At 42.9% G+C, this 19714-nt stretch overlaps 1 protein-coding gene across 12 annotated transcripts in view, besides 2 other annotated features; it reads left to right on the forward strand.

The window, feature by feature from the left end:
• PDE8A (phosphodiesterase 8A) overlaps window positions 1-19714 on the forward strand; it is a 158676-nt gene that overhangs the window by 124604 nt on the left and 14358 nt on the right. For 9 of the 12 annotated variants that reach the window (NM_001243137.2, XM_047432657.1, NM_002605.3 and 6 more), the window contains 8 exons: window positions 3983-4060; window positions 8307-8377; window positions 8803-8967; window positions 10369-10417; window positions 10914-11049; window positions 12571-12769; window positions 15727-15944; window positions 17991-18123. In NM_001243137.2, coding sequence (NP_001230066.1) covers window positions 3983-4060; window positions 8307-8377; window positions 8803-8967; window positions 10369-10417; window positions 10914-11049; window positions 12571-12769; window positions 15727-15944; window positions 17991-18123 — 1049 coding nt within the window. The other 3 variants (XR_007064457.1, XM_017022310.3, XM_047432661.1) reach the window with 3 other exon arrangements.
• Window positions 13120-13289: an enhancer, noted in NCBI's record as "experimental_42025 CRE fragment used in MPRA reporter constructs". NCBI's record gives its function as "activates a minimal promoter by MPRAs in K562 erythroleukemia cells, with activity observed for both the introgressed and non-introgressed 15:85661506 or rs10520585 variant alleles {active_cell/tissue: K562}" and the evidence as "EXISTENCE:reporter gene assay evidence [ECO:0000049][PMID:34662402]".
• Window position 13205: a transcriptional cis regulatory region, noted in NCBI's record as "Neanderthal adaptively introgressed variant 15:85661506 (GRCh37/hg19 assembly coordinates) or rs10520585 in the experimental_42025 CRE". NCBI's record gives its function as "modulates activity of the experimental_42025 enhancer by MPRAs in K562 erythroleukemia cells {active_cell/tissue: K562}" and the evidence as "EXISTENCE:reporter gene assay evidence [ECO:0000049][PMID:34662402]".

Consider the following 19714-nt stretch of genomic DNA (forward strand, 5'->3'; position numbering starts at 1 on the left):
TGGTCAGGACATGCCTTGCCAGTAATGTGACAGGCTCTGGTTCTTGTTCAGGTGGTATGGAATGGAACCCAGGCCTCATACTTTGCAGGTGTTCTCATGGGCTACCAGGGTTGGGGCCATTGTTAGAGGCCTCATAGATGATTGAAAAGAGTTGGGAGATTTGGTCTGTGCCTGGAGAAAGTGAGCTTTCTTGGGAGGAAGAGGTAGTTACCAGAGGCCCATGTGCAGAGAGTCCTGTGGGCTTGGCAGTTTGGAGGTGGCCCTGTTGCAGAGTAAGTGCTCTGCAAATGCTTGTTGATAGTGCCTGAGGAGATGTTCCGACAGTCAGCTGTGGTCCCGGCAGAATGACTTTTGGGCAAGTCACATAAAATACTGGGGTCTGGACTTCCTCATATCCAAACTGGAACTCATACTTCCAGGCTGCAGGGCTAATGCGAGTTGGAGGAAGCTGCTGTTTTTGAGGGGTACTGATTGGTTATCCTCTCTCATCACCCCCACTGTTTTTCCAGGGTTTCCTGGATTTACCCAGCAGGTCAAGGAAATGCTATTAATTTTTCTGTATTGAAAGGGTGGGCAGAGTTTATGGACCCTATTTTACAGAACAGGAAGCCAAGAGCAGAGACATGAAGTTGCAGGTGATCCTGAGCCCAAGCCCTGGCTATGGAGGCCTAGTTAGTGTTCTCTCCACTGGCAGGCCGGATACCTCAGGATGAGTATGTGTTTTCTGAGCACCCAGTAAGCATGAGGCCCTGGGCGCAGCACGCCTTCAGGAGCTGGTAGTCTCATTGGGATGTAAGCCTCACACTTCATCTTCAACCTCTTGGTGTTCCCTGAGGAGAGCTTCTGAGAGCTGGGTGCTGGGGTGACAGGGTGGAGACGTGGTCCATCTCTACCCACTGGGCGAAAATTGCTAGAATCATCTATAACGTGCTACAGGGACTAGGGGAGCAGTGAGCTTAGCAGGGCTTTTGGGAACAAGAGGATCTTGTATTTACATAAAGTAACTTTGAAACAGTCAAGTAGAAATTAAAGCCTGGTTAGTCTCCCTCCACTTTTCACAGTGCGTCCTTCATACACCCTCTGCTGCTTGCTCCTCTCCAGCCACACTGCTCCATCTGCACAAGCAGTTTCCTCCTCCTGGAAATGCTGTCGTCCTCCTCCTCATCTTGGCTGCAGCTACAAGACTCCATCCATCTCCTTTCTGCCCCCACTCCCTTGAGAATCTGCCACTTCCCCCTCCAGGCTCCTCCTGAACTTCAGAATTATTACTGTAACTCCTAGTTTACCCACCCTTTTCCCCACTGACCATCTCCTTTCGAGTTCATGGACTATACCTCATTCATTTTCACCTCCCTAATGCCTAGCTTAGGGCATCACACATGGTGGGTGAAGGTTTGTTGAGTGGAATAAAAGAGAGAAGAATGAAGGAACAAATAATCATAAGTTCTCAGTCCAGGCTCATCAGGTGGCTATGTGGACATTACTCATCATGAAGCTCAGAGGAAGGAGACACATTTCCAGCTCCATGTGGTTGAGAAGAGGGGAAATTTGAAGGAATGAACACTTGGAGAGGGTGCAGTGTTGTGTCTCAGACAGAAGGAGCCGGTGTCAAGGCTGTTCCAGAGATGGAAGGCGGAGCAGTTGTGCTGATGCAGTACATTCATGGGAAACAGTGAGAGATGAAAGGCAGGCTGCTGCAGGCCATCCTTACCTGCCCTTGAATGCCAGGAAGTTCTTTATCTCTGAGACGCTGAAGGATTTTGAGCAGGGGAGCCACAGAATCAGAGTGGCTGATTTAACAGAACTTTGATTTGTGCACAGGAAGGTGCAGGTTTTTGGTGAAGCAGATGTGTATTTATTGAGCTTCTATACACATATGCTTCTTCCAGCAGATGGTAGGCACAGAGCTGGTCACCTAGGAAAGACAGGAAAAACTGTCCCTGCCCTCAAGTCATTCATGTTAGCAAGGAAGGCAAGAAGGCAAGACAATAAAGCAGGCTGTTACCCAGCACTGTTGGGGTGGTGTGGAGAGACTTTAAGGGAAGGTTTCCCAAAAGTTAGGATACCTGAACTGCATCTTCAAAGAAGATCAGAGGTAACCAGGCGAAGAAGGTGGCAGGGGAGAGGCACATTTCCAAGTAGGTGGTTTGTACCAAATCATAGAGGTTTGGGAGGCAAATTAACAAATCATAAATAGTTCAAGGTGGATAGAGATAGGAGGTGCAGACCTCATAGGACTCTGGGTGCCACACTGAGGAGTTTGAATCTTATCCTAAAGACAAGGATGAGCCATTGAAGTGTTTTGATTGAGAGATCTGGTTGGATTTTTGTTTTACAACGATCGCTTGGCTGCCTGCAGAGAATAAGTTGAAAGGGATAAGGTTGGTGTTTTAGAACCAATCTGGGAGGCCATTAATCCAGGGAGGATGACAAATGTCTGAGCTTGGACAGGGATAGAGCAGGGGATAGACTGGAGGTGTTTAGGAGGTAGAATCCTTAGATTTGGCTGACCCAGTGGAAGGAGAGGGGAGGGGGAGAAGTGATGGATGACTTCTGTCTACCTTATGGTACATGCTGTTCAGTGATCTGGGTTAAAGAGCAGATTTGGAGAAAGATAAGGACTTCATGGTGGATAATGAATTCATTTGCAGTGCCTGAGGAGTGTCTAAGTGAGGTGGTAAATGGTAAGTTAAGATGTAAGTCTGGAGCTCAGGAGAGAGGCCTGGGGTAAGATGGCAACATAGGAATTAATTAAAACTATAGGAAGAATGAGATCTCCCAAGGAGGTTTTGTTGACTGAGAAGGGCTAAGGATAGAACCTTTTGAAAAACCACCTTTGGAAACACCAGGGGTACTGAGGAAGGAGGAAATCATGAAAGAAACTAGAAAGGAGTAGTAAGAAGTGGAAGGAAAACCAGGAGAGTGTGGACTCTGCAAACAGAAGTGTCCAGAAAGGGATCAGTTGTGTCTAGTACCACAATCAAGTCAGGTCAGGTAAGGATTGAGTTGTAGCCTTCAGATTTAGCAAAAAGGAGGTCGTTGGTGACCTTGACACATTCACTCTTTAGTGCCCACAGAGAAGAGGATTTAGTTTAATTGGGCAAAGAAGCAAAGAGCAAGTGAAGAGCCTTTTCGATGGTGCAAAGGAAGTGCTAAGGGCCTACATTCGGATCCTGTACATGAGCAGGGAGAGAAGTTCCAAGTGAGGAAGCCAAGACAAGGCAGAGAAGCTACTCCATGGCTGTGGGAAGAGCTGAGCTCAGCGCCCACCCTGCTATGCACTCATCTGCAAAGCAGCTCCTAGTTTCCTTGTCTGTGAAATGGGGATGCATGGTACCCAGCAGGTGCACAGAGAAGGGGTCAGGAAGGTAAGTCAGAGTTGCCTTGTCAGTGATTGGTTTGGGGGTCAGGATTAGAGAAGAGTCAAAGACAGTCCCCGTTTGAAGCCTAGGAGAGTAGTGTGTCCTTCGTAGAGAAGAGGGGGTGAAAGGGAGGCAGATGAGCTATCATTTGAAATATACCTCAAACAGTGTTCACCATACTACCCTAGGAAAGAGAAGAATGTTTTCCCTGGGATATTGTAGTCCTTATTTTGTAGAGAAAATAAAAGATTTTTTTTCTTTGGGGCAAGATGAGTGGGGATCAAAATTTTCCCATCATTTTATTCAATTATATAGAAATATAATAGGAGAAATTCTCCTGAGGTCATTTCTATCAGTTGTCACTTTATGTCTTGGGACTCTGTAATTACATAATCTGGAACTGTAAAGCCCTTGTTTATCTGTGCACCTGGTGGGACATTTTGAGAAACTCTACCCCCATAAAACTGGTTTCTCATAGTCTTCATCTCTGTACTGTGTTTACTTTTGTGGCATTTAAAACATTTAAAGTTGAGAGTTTTAAAAAAATTTTAGATTGGTAACCTTCCTTAATATGTTGTTTAAATATCTTTGAAGAGGTGATTTATCATTTGTTTCTACAGATAATCAGACAGGCAAACATAAAGACAGGAGAAAAGGCTCACTAGACGTCAAAGCTGTTGCCTCCCGTGCAACTGAAGGTGAGTGACAAAGACAAGAGAAAAAAATGTGATCAAATCACTGTTGAACACATGGAGCCCTGCCCTGCCTTGCCCAGGCTCATCCTGTCTACCTCCAATTCTTGGGAGAGGAGGGAACCCTCTGGAAACTAGTGTTCCCTTTCTCCCTCTCTGTGGACTCCTGCCAATGGGCTCCATTCTGAGCCTTTTAATGGAATCAGAAAATAAAGAAAAGGAAGAAGATACATTTCCCATATATTCTATAGTTGCTTTTCTAAACTGTAACAGCAGAAGATGTCAGTTCATCTGCTATAATTGTTTGAATTTGATAATTCTTAAAGATCTATCCCATCGTGGTTTGCAGTTTGCCATGGAAACTTTTAGAGAGAGGTGAGCTCGATTTTGGAATTGTGAAAGACCCTTATTCAGCAAATATTTAAGTTCTAATTGAAATATACTTTTTAAAAAGAATATGTAAGTGCATGGTCTGAATGACTTAGTTTTTGAAATGTAGTCAACATTGTTTATACAGAGTGTGGAGGCAGGTATTGCTGCTAGCTGTATACATTCTTTGGCCCAAAAATGAATACAGAAGGATACAGAGCTGGTTGTACTGGTTCAAAAGACAAACTTTTCCAAGGTGATATCAGCTAAGATTATACAGTAGGGATCAAATGCTACCCTCTCATCCCTCACAGATTTGTGGTAAGGCCCAGATGACATGCTGTGTACTCCTTGCACTGGAAAGACCATACAGATTACACCCCTGCTTTGAGGGCAGGATTGGGGTGGTGCCAGTGAGGAAGCGGTATGGGGTTATGGGAAGACTGTAAGCTTTGGTGTCAGAATGACCTCAGTCCAAGTCCCAGCTTCATCTACTCTCTGTGTAGCCTTGAGGGTGGACTTCTGTGTTTCCATTGCCTTATCTGTAAAGTGGGGATAATTTGCTGTCTGCAGAGGATTGTGTGAGGATTCAATGAGTGTGTATGGTGCCTGGTAAGTAAGGGTAGGGACTCAGTTAGTGTTAGCTGCCATCGTCATCTTCATTGTAGCTGTCGTGATTACAGTCCCAGACCCTCTGCAGTCCTGGAGCAGCACAGAGCAGGGCTGAGGTCCCTGCCCAGAACAGTCTTCACTCACCACATGCTAATGTTTGTTGATCCTTTGGATTCCTTGGTATATTTCTGTGTTTTAATAAACATCTTTTTCTTATAACTTTTTATGATTTTTGAGTTATAATTTATATACAATGAAATTCACTTAAGTTTCATTTCAGTGAGTTTTGACAATTCTGTATGCTCATGTAGTCACCACCCAAAATAGATATAGAAAATCCACACACACAAACACATTATTAACCATGCAGAAGCAACCATTGATGGCTAGCACCGTAAATTAATTCGGCCTCTCCTTGTGCCTCATAGAATTGGAATCGTACAGTATGGCTTGTTTGTGTCTAGCTTCTTGCACTTTCATGTTTTCGAGGTTCTTCCATGTTGTTAGGTATGTCATAGTTCCTTCCTTATTGCTCAGTAGTATTCCGTTACAGGAATATACCACAATTTGTGTGCACATCTTCTTCTTGTTTCCATTTTGAGGCTGCTAAGAATAAGAATGCCATGAACATTTTTATGCAGGTCATTTTTTGTGGATGTATATGCTCATCTTCTCCCTAGAAGTGGGATTGCTAGGCCTTAGAGCAGCTGCAAATGGTGCTCTCCAGTTTTATTCTCCAATAATAGCTCCAACATATGGCACCATGTTACTCTCCTCACTCATCTGTGAGAGTTCCAGTTGTTCCATGTTTTCCCACACTTGGTAATACCAGAATTTAAAATGTTAGCCACTCCAGTGGTTTTAATTTTAATTTTCCTTATGACTGAAGTTGAGCACCTTTTTATTGGTCATTTGGATAATCCTCTTCTGAAGTGTCATTCAGGTCTTTTGCCCATTTTTATAATTGGGTTGTATATCTTGTTGGTTTGTAGGGATTCTGTATATTGTCTAGATATGGGTTATCTGTGTATCACAAATATATTTTTTTAGTCTGTTGTTTGCCTTCTCCCCTCTAAATCATATCTTTTGATTCTTAATCAAAGAGCAGAGGTTCTTAAGGAAATTTATTTTATCAGGTTTTCTATTATTACTTGCGCTTTTTATGTCCTATTTAAGAAATCGTTCTTTATCCCAAGATCGTGAAAATATTCTCCCTTGTTTTCTTCTAGGAGTTTTATTGTTTTATCTTTTGTTTTAGGTCTTTGATCCATTTAAAATTATTTATATCTGGTGAGGGTAGAGATCAAGGATGACTGCCCCTGACCCTAGGGAAATCCAACTCGTCTATCACCATATTGAATAACCATCTTTTGCAGTAGCACCATTATTATAAATCAGCTTACTACGAATATGTGATCTGTTCCTGGACTCTATTCTGTTCCACTGTTCTGTTTGTTTACGCTTGTACCAATATCACAATCAGTTACTTATATAGTAAGTGTTGATATCTGATACCTGGTAGTAGGTAGCTGTTCTTCTTCAGTGCCTTGGCCGTTCTAGGTCCTTTGCATTTCCATGTGACGCTTAGAATGAGCTTCTTAGTTTATACACACATCCTCCTGGGATTTGTTTTCAGAGTGCCTTAAATCTGTAGATCACTTCAGGGAAAATTGAAATCTCAATAATGGTGAGTCTTTCAAATCATGAACATGCTATGTCTCCATTTATTTAGGCTGTCTTTGTTTTCTCTCAGCAGTGTTTTACATTTTTGTTGTAGAAATCATACAAATCTTTAATTAGATTTATTCTTAGGTATTGATGGTTTTTTATGCTATTGTAGTGGTGTTACTTGTTTAAATTTCCAATTGCTTATTGTATATAGTTATAGAAATACAACTGATTTTTGTATATTGACTTTGTATATCTAGGAGCTTGGGTAAACTTACTCACTGTAAAAGAAGAGGAGTGCATTTATAGATTCTTCTGGGCTTTCTGTATACACAGTCATGACAATCTTTATACTTTTTTTCTTACCTTATTGCTCTGTTTGATTTTTTTCTAATTCCTTTATTTTTAATTGACAAGAATTATGTGTATTTATCATGTATATGATGTTTTGACCTATCTGTACATTGTGAAATGACTAAATCAGGCTAATTAACGTGTATTACCTCATACACTTTCATTTTTTTGTGGTGAGAACACTTAAAATCTACCTTTAGCAATTTTCAAGAATACCTTGTTATTAATTGTAGTTACCATGTTGTACAATAGATCTCTGTTGTTTGTTACAAGCATATATCAATTATTTTTAAATGAAAACAAGTCCTTTTATGACAGTGATAAAATAGGAGTTTTTATTTTTGGTTTAATGACCTTGTTGGGTAAAATGGAAAGTTGGCAATCCTATAATCACCAAAATTTTAAGAAGTTTAGTTGGGCCCCCAAATTTAAAACATTTGAGACCCCCTGAATTGGTTAACTTTGGACGGTGTCTCTCCTTGGGCCTCAGTTTCTTCATTGGTAAAATGAGGTTGACACATCAGTCTCTGGGACAGCCCCTGGTCCTGTAACGTCTTTGGGAAGCAGCATTTAGCCTGATAGGATTGTTCGTGGAGATACCCAGGACTGGATGTTAACGTTTTTTCTGCCTATATTGCCTGGGCTTCTCCTCACCCCAAAGGAACCATATCTTGACAGGAACAACAGAAATTAACAAACTTTAGAGCCTAAGAATTGCTGCCTGCCTCATTGAAGATATTTACCTAATCAGTCCAGATTAAACATAACAGTGGGAAGCACCAGAGGGTACCTTGAAAAATTTAACCAGAAATTTGTGTATTTCAGTTATTGGTGAGTTGAATGTATTGCTCCTGCCATATATGAAACAAAGAGCATTGTGTGGCATTGTCTTCCGGAACATTTTTACTCCTAGAGAATGGCAAGCTAAGTAATTATAAAGGCTTATTGTCATAGACACAAAAAGAGGCTGTTTGACTTGGGCTTGCTAGATTGTTTCCTCTGTTTTCTCTCTGGCCTGTGACATCAGAAGTTCAGTCCATGGGGGCATATGTGCATTCTAGTGCCTAGAACTGAAGGAAACAGAATTGGTTATGCCAGAACCCCAGGCTTGTTAGGATGGGAAGGAAGCTCAGCAAACTCAGTTCTATCCTGCCCCTTCATCATGCAGCCGAGCACACTGAGCCCTCTGCTGTCAAGACAGGTGCCCAGAGTTGTGCATGCCCTGATTTGTGCATCCCTTTCTCCACAGTTTCCAGCCAGAGACGACACTCTTCCATGGCCCGGATACATTCCATGACAATTGAGGCGCCCATCACCAAGGTGAAGCAGTTTGTGGTCTGTCTCCATTGAGCACACATACTCCTTGTTCTCCCCAAGGATCATTTCCAATGAGAAGAAACAGGGACCCGCAGTAATGAGCATGCTGTCATAGTTGTGTGGTGCTAGTAGCCTCCTCTGAAGAGAGAGGATGTGTGACATGGGCATTTTAACTAGTCTTAAGTTAGTATTAAGTACTATGGCCAGACTGAGTCCTGTTGGGTTTTGTTTTGTTTTTGCTGTTATTTGTTTTTTAGAGATGTGCTCTCTCATTTCTGTTGCCCAGGCTAGTCTCAAACTCCTGGGCTCAAGTAATTCTCCCACCTCAGCCTCCTGAGTAGCTGGAATTACAGACACGTACTGCCATGCCTGGCTCTCCCACTGTTTTTAAGGTTATGAAACTCAAGTATTTTCTTTCCATAATGTAGGTAATCAATATTATCAATGCTGCCCAGGAAAGTAGTCCCATGCCTGTGACAGAAGCCCTAGACCGTGTGCTGGAAATTCTAAGAACCACTGAGTTATATTCACCACAGTTTGGTGCTAAAGATGATGATCCCCATGCCAATGACCTTGTTGGGGGCTTAATGTCTGTAAGTATATTTGACTAGACTCTTGGCTAGAGCCTGTCTGTTCTTGGTTGTTTTCTCAGAGGTTATTCACTTAAACAGATATTGAAGAGGCAGGCAGGGCTCTGTAGGGTTCAGTCAAGACCTAAACTCTCCTCCATTGCCTGGGTTCTGCTATTCTCTGGCCAAGCACCCACCTGCTGCCTGCCTCCTAGGGAGAGCTTAGCTTGGAGCAGAGCAGGGAGGAATGTAATCCTGACAGTCTGCTGAGCACCAGTTCTCCAGTGTTGCTTAGGGCTTCTACAGTAGTTTATCTAAATAAAGCTTGTTTAGTTGTATTAAAGATCTTCAAAACTGGGACAGTGTAGAACAGAAAGATTGTCTTTCTCCCGCCATATGTATTTAAAATGGTGCCGGGGGTGCAACAGTTTGGCCTTCAAAGCATCCCACACACATTTAGATGACTGTAGGAAAGAGGGATTTGGGAATCTTTCACTAGAAGGGGGCTTTGTGTCATAGACTCTTGAGGGGTCCTGGATGCCTCCTTCAGCATGTCTGGTGTAGAGCTCTCACAAGAGAGGGACAACTTTGTGCAGCACAGATTATTCCATTGCTCTCTGTCAGCTTTTGTCTTGGTCAGAAGCAAAATCCACCTCCCTCCCAATTACTGCTTTCTGAAGTCACTGGATTTTATAAAAATAAGGTTCCAGGCAGAAATCTAGAAGGTAGAGTGTTTACAATGCTGATAATATCTCACTGTGGTCTTGCCTATTTGAGACAGGGTCTCCTCCAGACTGCAGGTAAGAGGTGAAAATGATGAGGGATGGGGGTAGGATAGTGTCCTGGAGGCGAGCAGATGAGAATAGCCACAGGACTGGAGAAAAGGGGCTGCTGAGAGTACGGGTTTGGGCCAGGTGGTCTGGAAGCAGTGGTGAGGAGCCCAGGAGAGTCAACTGTGGGGAATGAGGTCACTTATGAGGTGAGAGAGGAGCTAATGTTTCCAGGAAAGCCTCGTGTCCTCAGAGTGAGGAGGGTTGCACGAAAATGGAGGAGAAGGACTGAGGGCAGAGCACAGTTGTCCCTAAGAAACCAAATGGTCCTGGAGTGCAAGCAAGAATGCTGGGCTTAAAGACCACCCACCCCTCAAAAGATGCAGGCTCACCTCCCGGGTGTTGACCTTGCTCCTGAGTTTAGCTTCCAACAGGGCCAGGACCATCCTTCCCAGCATTAGCCTGTTGTGCTCTCCAGTAAGTGACTGAGGTCAGTGGTCAATCACAGGGGTGGACCTGCTGGGCCCAGGGCAGCCTTGAGTGCATTGGTGGAGAGGGCTGCCCTGAGTTGTCCTGTGGGAGGACCACCTGGAGTTTCCAGGAAGGAAAGAATAGTTGTGACTTTTCTTTTTCTTGTTTCCTTGATTTTTATCAGGATGGTTTGCGAAGACTATCAGGGAATGAATATGTTCTTTCAACAAAAAGTAAGTTTTTCCTTTTTAATTTCTTAGATCACTGTCTATAATACTGCAGTCTAGCTTAAGTGATGAAAATAATTTTTCACCTCATTAAGAAGTTTCTTGGTATGTCATAAAGCCTCAGAAACAAAGCAGCTGTCCCTGAGGCGGTACTGTCCTCCCTAAGAAACAGTTAATCCTGGCCGGGAGCGGTGGCTCACACCGCCGAGATGGGCAGATCACAAGGTCAGGAGTTCAAGACCAGCCTGGCCAACATGGCAAAATCCTGTCTCTACTGAAAATACAAAAAATTAGCCAGGCATGGTGGCAGGTGCCTGTAATCCCACTACTCAGGAGGCTGAGGCAGGAGAATCACTTGAACCCGGGAGGCGGAGGTTGCAGTGAGCTGAGACTGTACCACAACACTCCAGCCTGGGCAACAGAGTGAGATTCCGTCTCAAAAAAAAAAAAAAAAGTTAATCCTTTAAAGCCTATTTGTTCTCCAAATTACATCACTTTACAGACACTCAAATGGTTTCAAGCAATATAATCACTCCCATCTCCCTTGATGATGTCCCACCACGGATAGCTCGGGCCATGGAAAATGAGGAATACTGGGACTTTGATATTTTTGAACTGGAGGCTGCCACCCACAATAGGTGAGTTCATGCAGAGCTCAGCAGCGGGAGAACTAGATTCCCAGGGCCTGTGTGAGGAGGCTACCTGAGGAGTATGGATTGTGCACAAGCCTGGTACCTGGTCAGGGTGGGGCCCTAAGGAAGGAGTAACAGGGCACCAGGTGGCTCTGAGTCACCAGGGCCTGGGGGAGAGTCTGCTGGCCACAGTGATGGCACATTCATGGAAAGCATGCAACTGAGCCAGTGACTTCTCCAAGTAGCACAGGACTTTTTTCTGTGAAATAAAGGTATTTCTCCTGTAGGTGGTAATATGTTAAGATTGCTGTAAGAGATCTGCTCAGAGCCTAGAACCAAAATTTATTAGAAACACATACACATGTGATAAGAGCTGCTCCCAGCTTTTGGTTGTTCTGTTGGTGATAGGCATAGGGACACCCAAAGCCCCAGTCATCCTCATCTGGGTGTGATCACAGAGAGTGGGAGCAGGAATGGGGTTTTGCCTTGAGTTTTTTCCCTTGCGGGAGAAGAGCTGTTAACCAAAGGTGGTAGTTGGCTGGGCACACAAGAAAGGGAGGTCCACAGAGCTGATTCCAGCCAGGACTGCCCACTAGGGTGTCTAGGCAGAGGTGTGCTCGGTTGGGCCATGGGATGGCTCCTCAGGTCTCATCTCAGTCTGGGTGACCTGTCCCCAAGATAACTCCCTGACTTTTTCAGGCTCCCCTTGAGTTAACCTTCTGATACGTTCTACTTCCCTATCTCCCAGCACAGCCAAGGAGAGTTGAAAAGAATACTCCCTGGGCACATGAGTCTTTGAGCATCTGGTTTACATGCTAGTGACATTACATCCATGTGAATTGGGCTAAGGCAGGTCAGTTTAAGTCCTGTGATCACTTCTGGATACTGCCTCAACACAGCCAGTTTCTTGGCCTTCACAGGCAAGGGCCAGATGCTGGGTCAAGGTGATTTCTCAAGTAAGAACCTAACTTGGTGGCCAGCTGGAAACCTCAGGGGAAATCCCCTCATACTTTTAACGCCCACCTCCAGAAAGGTGGGTGTTGAGAAAATTCCATTGCATACGGCAGTGTCTGGCTTATATGACATTTTCAGGAAATGTTTTCTTATAGGCAGGATGTCTGGCCAATGGCATGGGTCCAGCAAGTCCAAAGGAGAGGATAGTGTTCAAGGTGGTACAAGCTTAGCCTGGAGAAAGGGTTATTTTGAGGAACCCACTAGTGCAAGTAGGAAGCTGAACCTGGAAGGACAGAATGAGCAAACTCCCCCCAACAAATCGGGAGCCCCAACGAGGCTGAGGTCAGAGCTGCTGTGGGCAGCCAGCTCTCACCCGTGCATCATGGTCCCCTGAGGGCAAGAAGTGGAACCAGAGTTGGTTGGCCCCACCAGAGAGAGGCCAGCACAGCCCAAGCAATCTCCACTTTGCTGCCCTGCACTCTCTGAAATTTGGCTTGGAACCTATTCAGGCCTTAAACACTTGGCCTGTTTGTTTGCTTTGTTCTAATATTGTGGGGTTTTTTCTGTCTATAGGCCTTTGATTTATCTTGGTCTCAAAATGTTTGCTCGCTTTGGAATCTGTGAATTCTTACACTGCTCCGAGTCAACGCTAAGATCATGGTTACAAATTATCGAAGCCAATTATCATTCCTCCAATCCCTACCACAATTCTACACATTCTGCTGATGTGCTTCATGCCACTGCCTATTTTCTCTCCAAGGAGAGGATAAAGGTGAGCTGTTGTTTACCTGCCACATTTAATGGGCAGGAGCAGTGGGGAGAGTCTAGTGCTTCTGCCTCCACTAAGATACATAGCATGACTGCTCACGTGTGCAGCCTGGCACAGGAAGGGCAAGGTCATACGAGGAATCAGGCAGGAGGCCACATTAGCTTTGGGAAATTGATGTGTTAATTCATGACATAATCCCAGCTATTCCATGAGGGTACAAGAGGCAGAATTTGGTCCCGGAGGAGAAACCTAACAAGGACAGGATAGGGCTATTCTTCTGGGGGTCTCACTCCAAGCCTGTACACTAGTAGAGCCAAGTAACTGTTGGATATCCCCACTTTAGGGCCTCCATCTGTACATGAAAGTCTGCAGGGCTCTAAGGTCAGGTTCATCATCTCTGTTCCCAGCACTGCTCCCACCCAGGGTTATCTACCTAATCCAGGGTTCCATTATCCAACCGGATACCCAGATTAGAAACCGAGAGTCATCCTTGGTTCTTTCCACTCCTCAACCCCCCACATCTGGTTGATCATCTGACCTTGCCTCCTGTCACACCTAAATGTTCTCAGATTCATCTCCTGCTGCTGTCCCAGTGAGGCCCCCCGCAATCCTTTCGCATCTGGGCAGTTCCAAACTAGAATTCTTGCCTGCCCTGCCTCCCATGGAATGCCCTTACCCTACTGCCAATGTGATCTTTCTGAAACAGCATACCTGATATTGTCATTCCCAGGAGCAGCTTCCCACCTCCCTCAGGATTTAAACTTTAAACTCTACAGCTCTCCACACTCACCTCAACAATGAGCTCCTCTCATCATTTCTTCTCCTTTGTCCCAGTCACAGGCCACTTTTGGGCCATGCCAAACCACTTTAGTTTCTGAAGCTTCTGCCCTTGACCTGTTGCTCCCTTGACTGGGGCCTAAGATGACTGCAGTCATGCAGGGCCAGGGCAAGTGGCTCCTGGCTGCATTTCCTCCTCTGTATCACGGGACTAGCATTTGGCAGAGAGCAAAGCAGAAGATGACATCTGGCACACACAGGGAGTGAACAAGTGTTCATTCCTCACCTTGAAGGGTAAACCTTCTCAGAACTTTCCGTGCTCCCTCTGGTTCTTATTTCTGTTTTTGTTTTTTGTTTTTTTCCAGAAAAAATCAAATCAGACTGTAGGTAAAATAGGGTGTCCAGAGAAGGGGACTGTTTTCTAAATTATGAAAACAAGTAACAACAGAGGGACATCTGTGTCAATATGGCTCAGCATATAAAGAACCCAATTTTTGCTGTATTGCTTTTAAACTACTCTATAGACAACATACAAATATATATTTAGAGAGCTAACTGAAAACAGTTTATTAGAGCATTTATTGAAATGTCATGGTGGCTCACACCTGTAATCCCAGTACTTTGGGATACCAAGGCAGATGGATCAGGAATTCGAGACCAGCCTAGCCAACATGGTGAAACACCATCTCTACTAAAAATAGAAAAATTAGCTGGGCATGGTGGTGCAGGCCTATAATCCAGCTACTTGAGAGGCTGAGGCAGGAGAATCACTTGAACCCAGGAGGTGGAGGTTGCAGTGAGCCAAGATCATGCTATTGCATTGCAGCCTGGGTGACAGAGCAAGACTCTCGTCTCAAAAAAAAAAAAACATTTATTGAAATGTAATTCACATACCATACTATTTGCGCACTTAAAATTTAAATTATTGAATTTTAATTTAAATCAATTTAAATAAATTTGCAAGGCTGATTTATTAGCTATACATCTCAAGAGTCTGTAGGGTATTTCCAAAAATGATCTTATACTGGGACATAATGTGTTGAACTTCTAAACTTCATAGGCTATATTTTCTAACCACAACACAACAAAATAGAATAACTAATGGTTAAATTTAAAATATCAGCTACAACAAATGAGAAAATATTCTGAATAATTTGGGAATCAACAAAGAAATAAAACCAAAAATGACATTAGTTAGAAAATAACAAAAATGAGAAGCTTATCTGTCAAAACCTATAGAATGAAGCCAATTATATAGTTAAAGGTTTATGTTTTAAATGCCTTAATTACTTTTAAAAGGGAAGAAAAAAAACATGGGAAAAGCAAAATGATAATCCAGTGTGGCTCTTGGAAATAACCAAGAAAATAGGTGAAGTTCTAGCCAAACTAGTTAAGATATAAAGACACAAAAATATACAAATTTACAGCAGAAAATAGAAGTACTGCACACATATGTACTAAATCAAAAGCTTTAAAATAGTTTTAATGGAATGTTTTAAATTAAATTGATGTAAGAAGTAAAAAAACAAAAAAAAAAAACAAAAGAGGCCAATAACATGGAAGTAATTTTAGTAATTTTTAAATTATTATTTAATTTCTTCAAAAGTTGGCTCCTGACCCAGATGGACAGGTGAATTCTTTAGCCCTTTAAGGAATTTTTCCATGTTACATAAAACTTTTCAGAGTCTTGAAAAAGATGGAAAACTTCCAGATCATTTTGTCAAACTCACAAAACTCTGACATCAACCTGACAAAGATAGCACTAAAAGGGGGAAGAAAACTAAATCAATTCCCAGTTAATGTAAGTGGTGCCTATTTTAAATTTTATTTAAAATTGTTTCTCTCCTTTATTAATATTAGTTTATGCTGGTCTAAGTCAATATCTCAGACTAAGGACTTTTTTGGTGATGGGTCTAGAGAAAGACTGGCTGAGGAGGTGACTCCTATCTGTTGAGAACACCTGTATTTTGGTAAGTCCTTAACTTGTGTGAGACTAACAAATATGCAGAAATATAACTGTTTCAGGGTGGAGATAGGAAAACTAGATTTGCTCACGTAGTATGCTTTTCTTAGAAATCTGAAATATTCTTACCTGAAAGTAATAGGGGAGAAAGAAAACTATACAGAAGGCTTCCTTGCCTTCAGTGTCATACCCCAGTTTTTAAAAGCTCTCTTGTTTTCAGGAAACTTTAGATCCAATTGATGAGGTCGCTGCACTCATCGCAGCCACCATTCATGATGTGGATCACCCTGGGAGAACCAACTCCTTCCTGTGTAATGCTGGAAGTGAGCTGGCCATTTTGTACAATGACACTGCTGTGCTGGAGAGCCACCATGCGGCCTTGGCCTTCCAGCTGACCACTGGAGATGATAAATGCAATATATTTAAAAACATGGAGAGGTAAGAACAATGATTGGGAAGTGTGTTGATCCCTCTCTTTCTTTTTTAAACAGCTATATTGAGATATAATTCACATCTTATACAGTTCACCCATTTAAAGTGCACAAAGTATACAGTGGGCCGGACATAGTGGCTCATGCCTATAATCCCAGCACTTTGGGAGGCTGAGACAGGAGAAATCACTTGAGCCCAGGAGTTTGAGACCAGCCTGGGCAACGTAGGGAGACCCTGTCTCTACAAAAGGAAAAAAAAAATTAGCCAGGCTCGGTGGTTGTGTCTGTAGTCCCAGCTACTCGGGAGGCTAAGGTGGGAGGATTGCTTGAGCCCAGGAGGCTGAGGCTGCGGCTGCAGTGAACCGTGATCACACCACTGCACTCCAGCTTGAGCAACAGAGCCTTCCCTGATCTCTCATGCTAAGTTAAACCCTCTAATTATTCAATCCCAGATTTCTTCATAGCACGTATCACATTTCTTATTTAATAATTACTTTTTAATTATTTGCGTAATGTCTGATTAGATTCTTAAGCTCTGTAAGGTCACAAGGGTCATATGTCACTGTGCCCTCGGTGCCCTCAGTGCCACAGTGCTTGGTACATACTAGAGCGAGACCCTGTCTCAAAATAATAATAACATGTACAGTGGTTTTTAGTATATTCATAGTGGTTTTAGTATATTCATAGAGTTGTGCAACTCATAGTATATTCAATTTTAGAATATTACCCCTTCGATAGAACCTCAAATTTATGAGCAGTTCCTTTCCATTCCCCCTCAACTCCCCTAGTCCTAGACAACTACTGTGATCTACTTTCTGTCTCTATAGATTTGCCATTTCTGGACATTTTATGTAAATGGAATCATACACAATATGTGATCTTTTGTAACTAGCTTTTTTCACTTAGCACAATGTTTTTAAGATTCAGCCGCTTTGTGTCTGGATGTTTCAAGGTGAAGTATAATGCTGATATCTTGAGCTCTTAGAGACTCAAAGAAGCAGTCATCTATCTCTCTCCCTGAAGCACTCCACTCTGCCCTCCTGTGCTCAGCATACATCTCCTTGGCATTGTCTCTGTTTACATGTCACTTCCTTGGGGAAGCCTTCCCTGATCTCTCATGCTAAGTTTAACCCTCTAATTATTCAATCCCAGATTTCTTCGTAGCACGTATCACATTTCTTATTTAATAATTATTTTTAATGATTTGTGTAATGTCTGATTAGATTCTTAAGCTCTGTAAGGTCACAAGGGTCATATGTCACTGTGTCCTCAGTGCCACAGTGCTTGGTACATACTAGGAACTTAGTGAATATCAGTTGAAGAAAGAAAAAACATTGTGTCATGAAGAATACTTATTAATATGGATTTTTAAAGAAGAGGATTTTTGATTTTGTAAAACTCCTTTCTGCCATGTTCTAGGATTTCAGAGGTGGAGTTAAAGTAGTTTCTATTCATATTTGCTTATAGTTACATCAGTTATCAATGGAAAACTACATGAGACCCTATTAACTTTCCAGAGAAAGTTTTCTACTCAACTGCAGAAAAGGGATTGAATAGAGACTTTGTTTCATATTCATACCCCTTCAAATTTTGAATTACATGGATTACCCCTTCAAGAAATGAATTTTTTAAAGTACTAAAATAAAAGCAAGGGTTAGAGGTGGAGGTATCAAGTACTCCCTATGATTTCGCAGCTTTCAGAAGATCGGTCCTCACATTCTATGGGCACTAAAATGGTTGGGCCTCAAGACACCTCCATGTGGGGTATATTCTTTCTAACCACAGATTTCTATCTTCATTGACAAGATAAACACTGCAACTATAAGTTTTGCCTATAGCTTTTGGTTTTAACTTCTTTTGAGGTTCTCCTTGCTAACGATCTAGGCACTAACCCCTAACTTCCATGTCTTTTTAAAATGTGCCTTGTGGCTTTCAGTGGCATTAGATTTATAGCTGCAGAGGACACATACCTGGATAACAGATTGTTTTCAGGAGTACCTGTCTGGTCTGGATCAGTAATTTGTAGCAGCCTCTAATTTGTCATCGAAAACAGGAATGATTATCGGACACTGCGCCAGGGGATTATCGACATGGTCTTAGCCACAGAAATGACAAAGCACTTTGAGCATGTCAACAAATTTGTCAACAGCATCAACAAACCCTTGGCAACACTAGAAGAAAATGGGGTAAGGGAAACTTATTGCAAAGAGAACCTGTGTTTGGGGTCCTTGTACTGTTGTGTTATGGAGACACATGGGCTATGATATCAGCCACAGAAGGGTTCCCTCAGTGAGTCTATTAGACTCTTACAGGGACAGAACTAATGGGATACACACACACACACACACACACACACACACACACACACACACACACACAAAGGGGAGTTTATTAAGTAATAACTTACACGATCACAAGGTCCCACAATAGGCTGTCTGCAAGCTGAGGAGCAAGGAGAGCCAGTCTGAGTCCCAAAACTGGAGAACTTGGAGTCTGATGTTCAAGGGCAGAGAGCATCCAGCATGGGAGAAATGTAGGCTGGGAGGCTAGGTCCATCTCTCCTTTTCATGTTTTTCTGCCTGCTTTATATTTGATGGCAATTGATTTGATTGTGCCCACCAGATTAAGGGTGGATCTGCCTTCCCCAGCCCACTGACTCAAATGTTAATCTCTTTTGGCAACACTCTCACAGAAACACCCAGGATCAATACTTTGTATTCTTCAATCCAATCAAGTTGACACTCAGTATTAACCATCACAGTGGGCTCACTGAATTTAGTTTTTATTGGTTAAAAAATTATTTAAAGTGCAAAAACTTGGCAGGAAAAAAATTAGCACATCCAACTAGATGGGAAAACTCGAAAGGAAGGTCAGATTTTAGATAAGCTAACTTTAGACAGACTATTCCTGCACCCTTCCTCACTAATATCCCCCTCCCTTCTTCTCCATTCTGTGATCAGTTGGAGCCCTTGATATATCTTTCTAGCCACTCCCACTGGGCACATATCATGGTAGCAGCAGCTATCCTCTCTTGGTCCTCACTTAGAGGAGCATGTGGATTGAGAAAGACACTGTATTTGTGTCACAAGGGTGACATTATTGTTGCCCCTGTTTCTACATTTGAGGCATGGAGTCCACAACAACTGCTGGGCAAGGATAACATTAACCCTCTCACCAGGCAGGAGTCTCCAGCTGAGGAAGCATACAGGCCCAAGTTCCCATCATTTGCTTATCTGTAGAATGGGGATAAGAAGTCTCAAGGCATAGGACTGATGAGCATGGTACATGGTAGGCACTTAAGAACTGGTGCCTATTATACTAGATTCATTGTGTCATCAGCAACTTAAAGAATATGTTCTTTCATGAACCTCTTCCTTTGAGGCCCACATTTACTGAACATGTTGGCAGCAGCTCACAGTCTTCTCTCCCACCCTCCTCCCCAGCTCCTATCACCATCCTGAGATATTTGCCACACACAGGGATGACTTATCCTCGCAGGCTAGGATCATAATTCCTTGACTTCTAACTCCATTTTACTTCTGCAATTCATTTGTTTGGCCATGGCCTTTGTCTGCCCCCTGGTTTTCTAGCATATTACCCCATGACACTTACTTTGGTTTAACCTGATGTTGAGAACTGTTTCTTCACCCTTTCCTGTTCTCTCAATTTGTCAGCCTGCCCCTGACTTCACTCTCTTTCCAAAGACTTTTAACAGAGGTGCCTGTACCAGCCTGTTTTATTGGCTCCTGCCCTGCCATTCTGGATAGGGCTCATTGT

Source organism: Homo sapiens, chromosome 15, assembly GCF_000001405.40.
Source record: "Homo sapiens chromosome 15, GRCh38.p14 Primary Assembly".
In the NCBI taxonomy this organism is placed as follows: domain Eukaryota; kingdom Metazoa; phylum Chordata; class Mammalia; order Primates; family Hominidae; genus Homo; species Homo sapiens.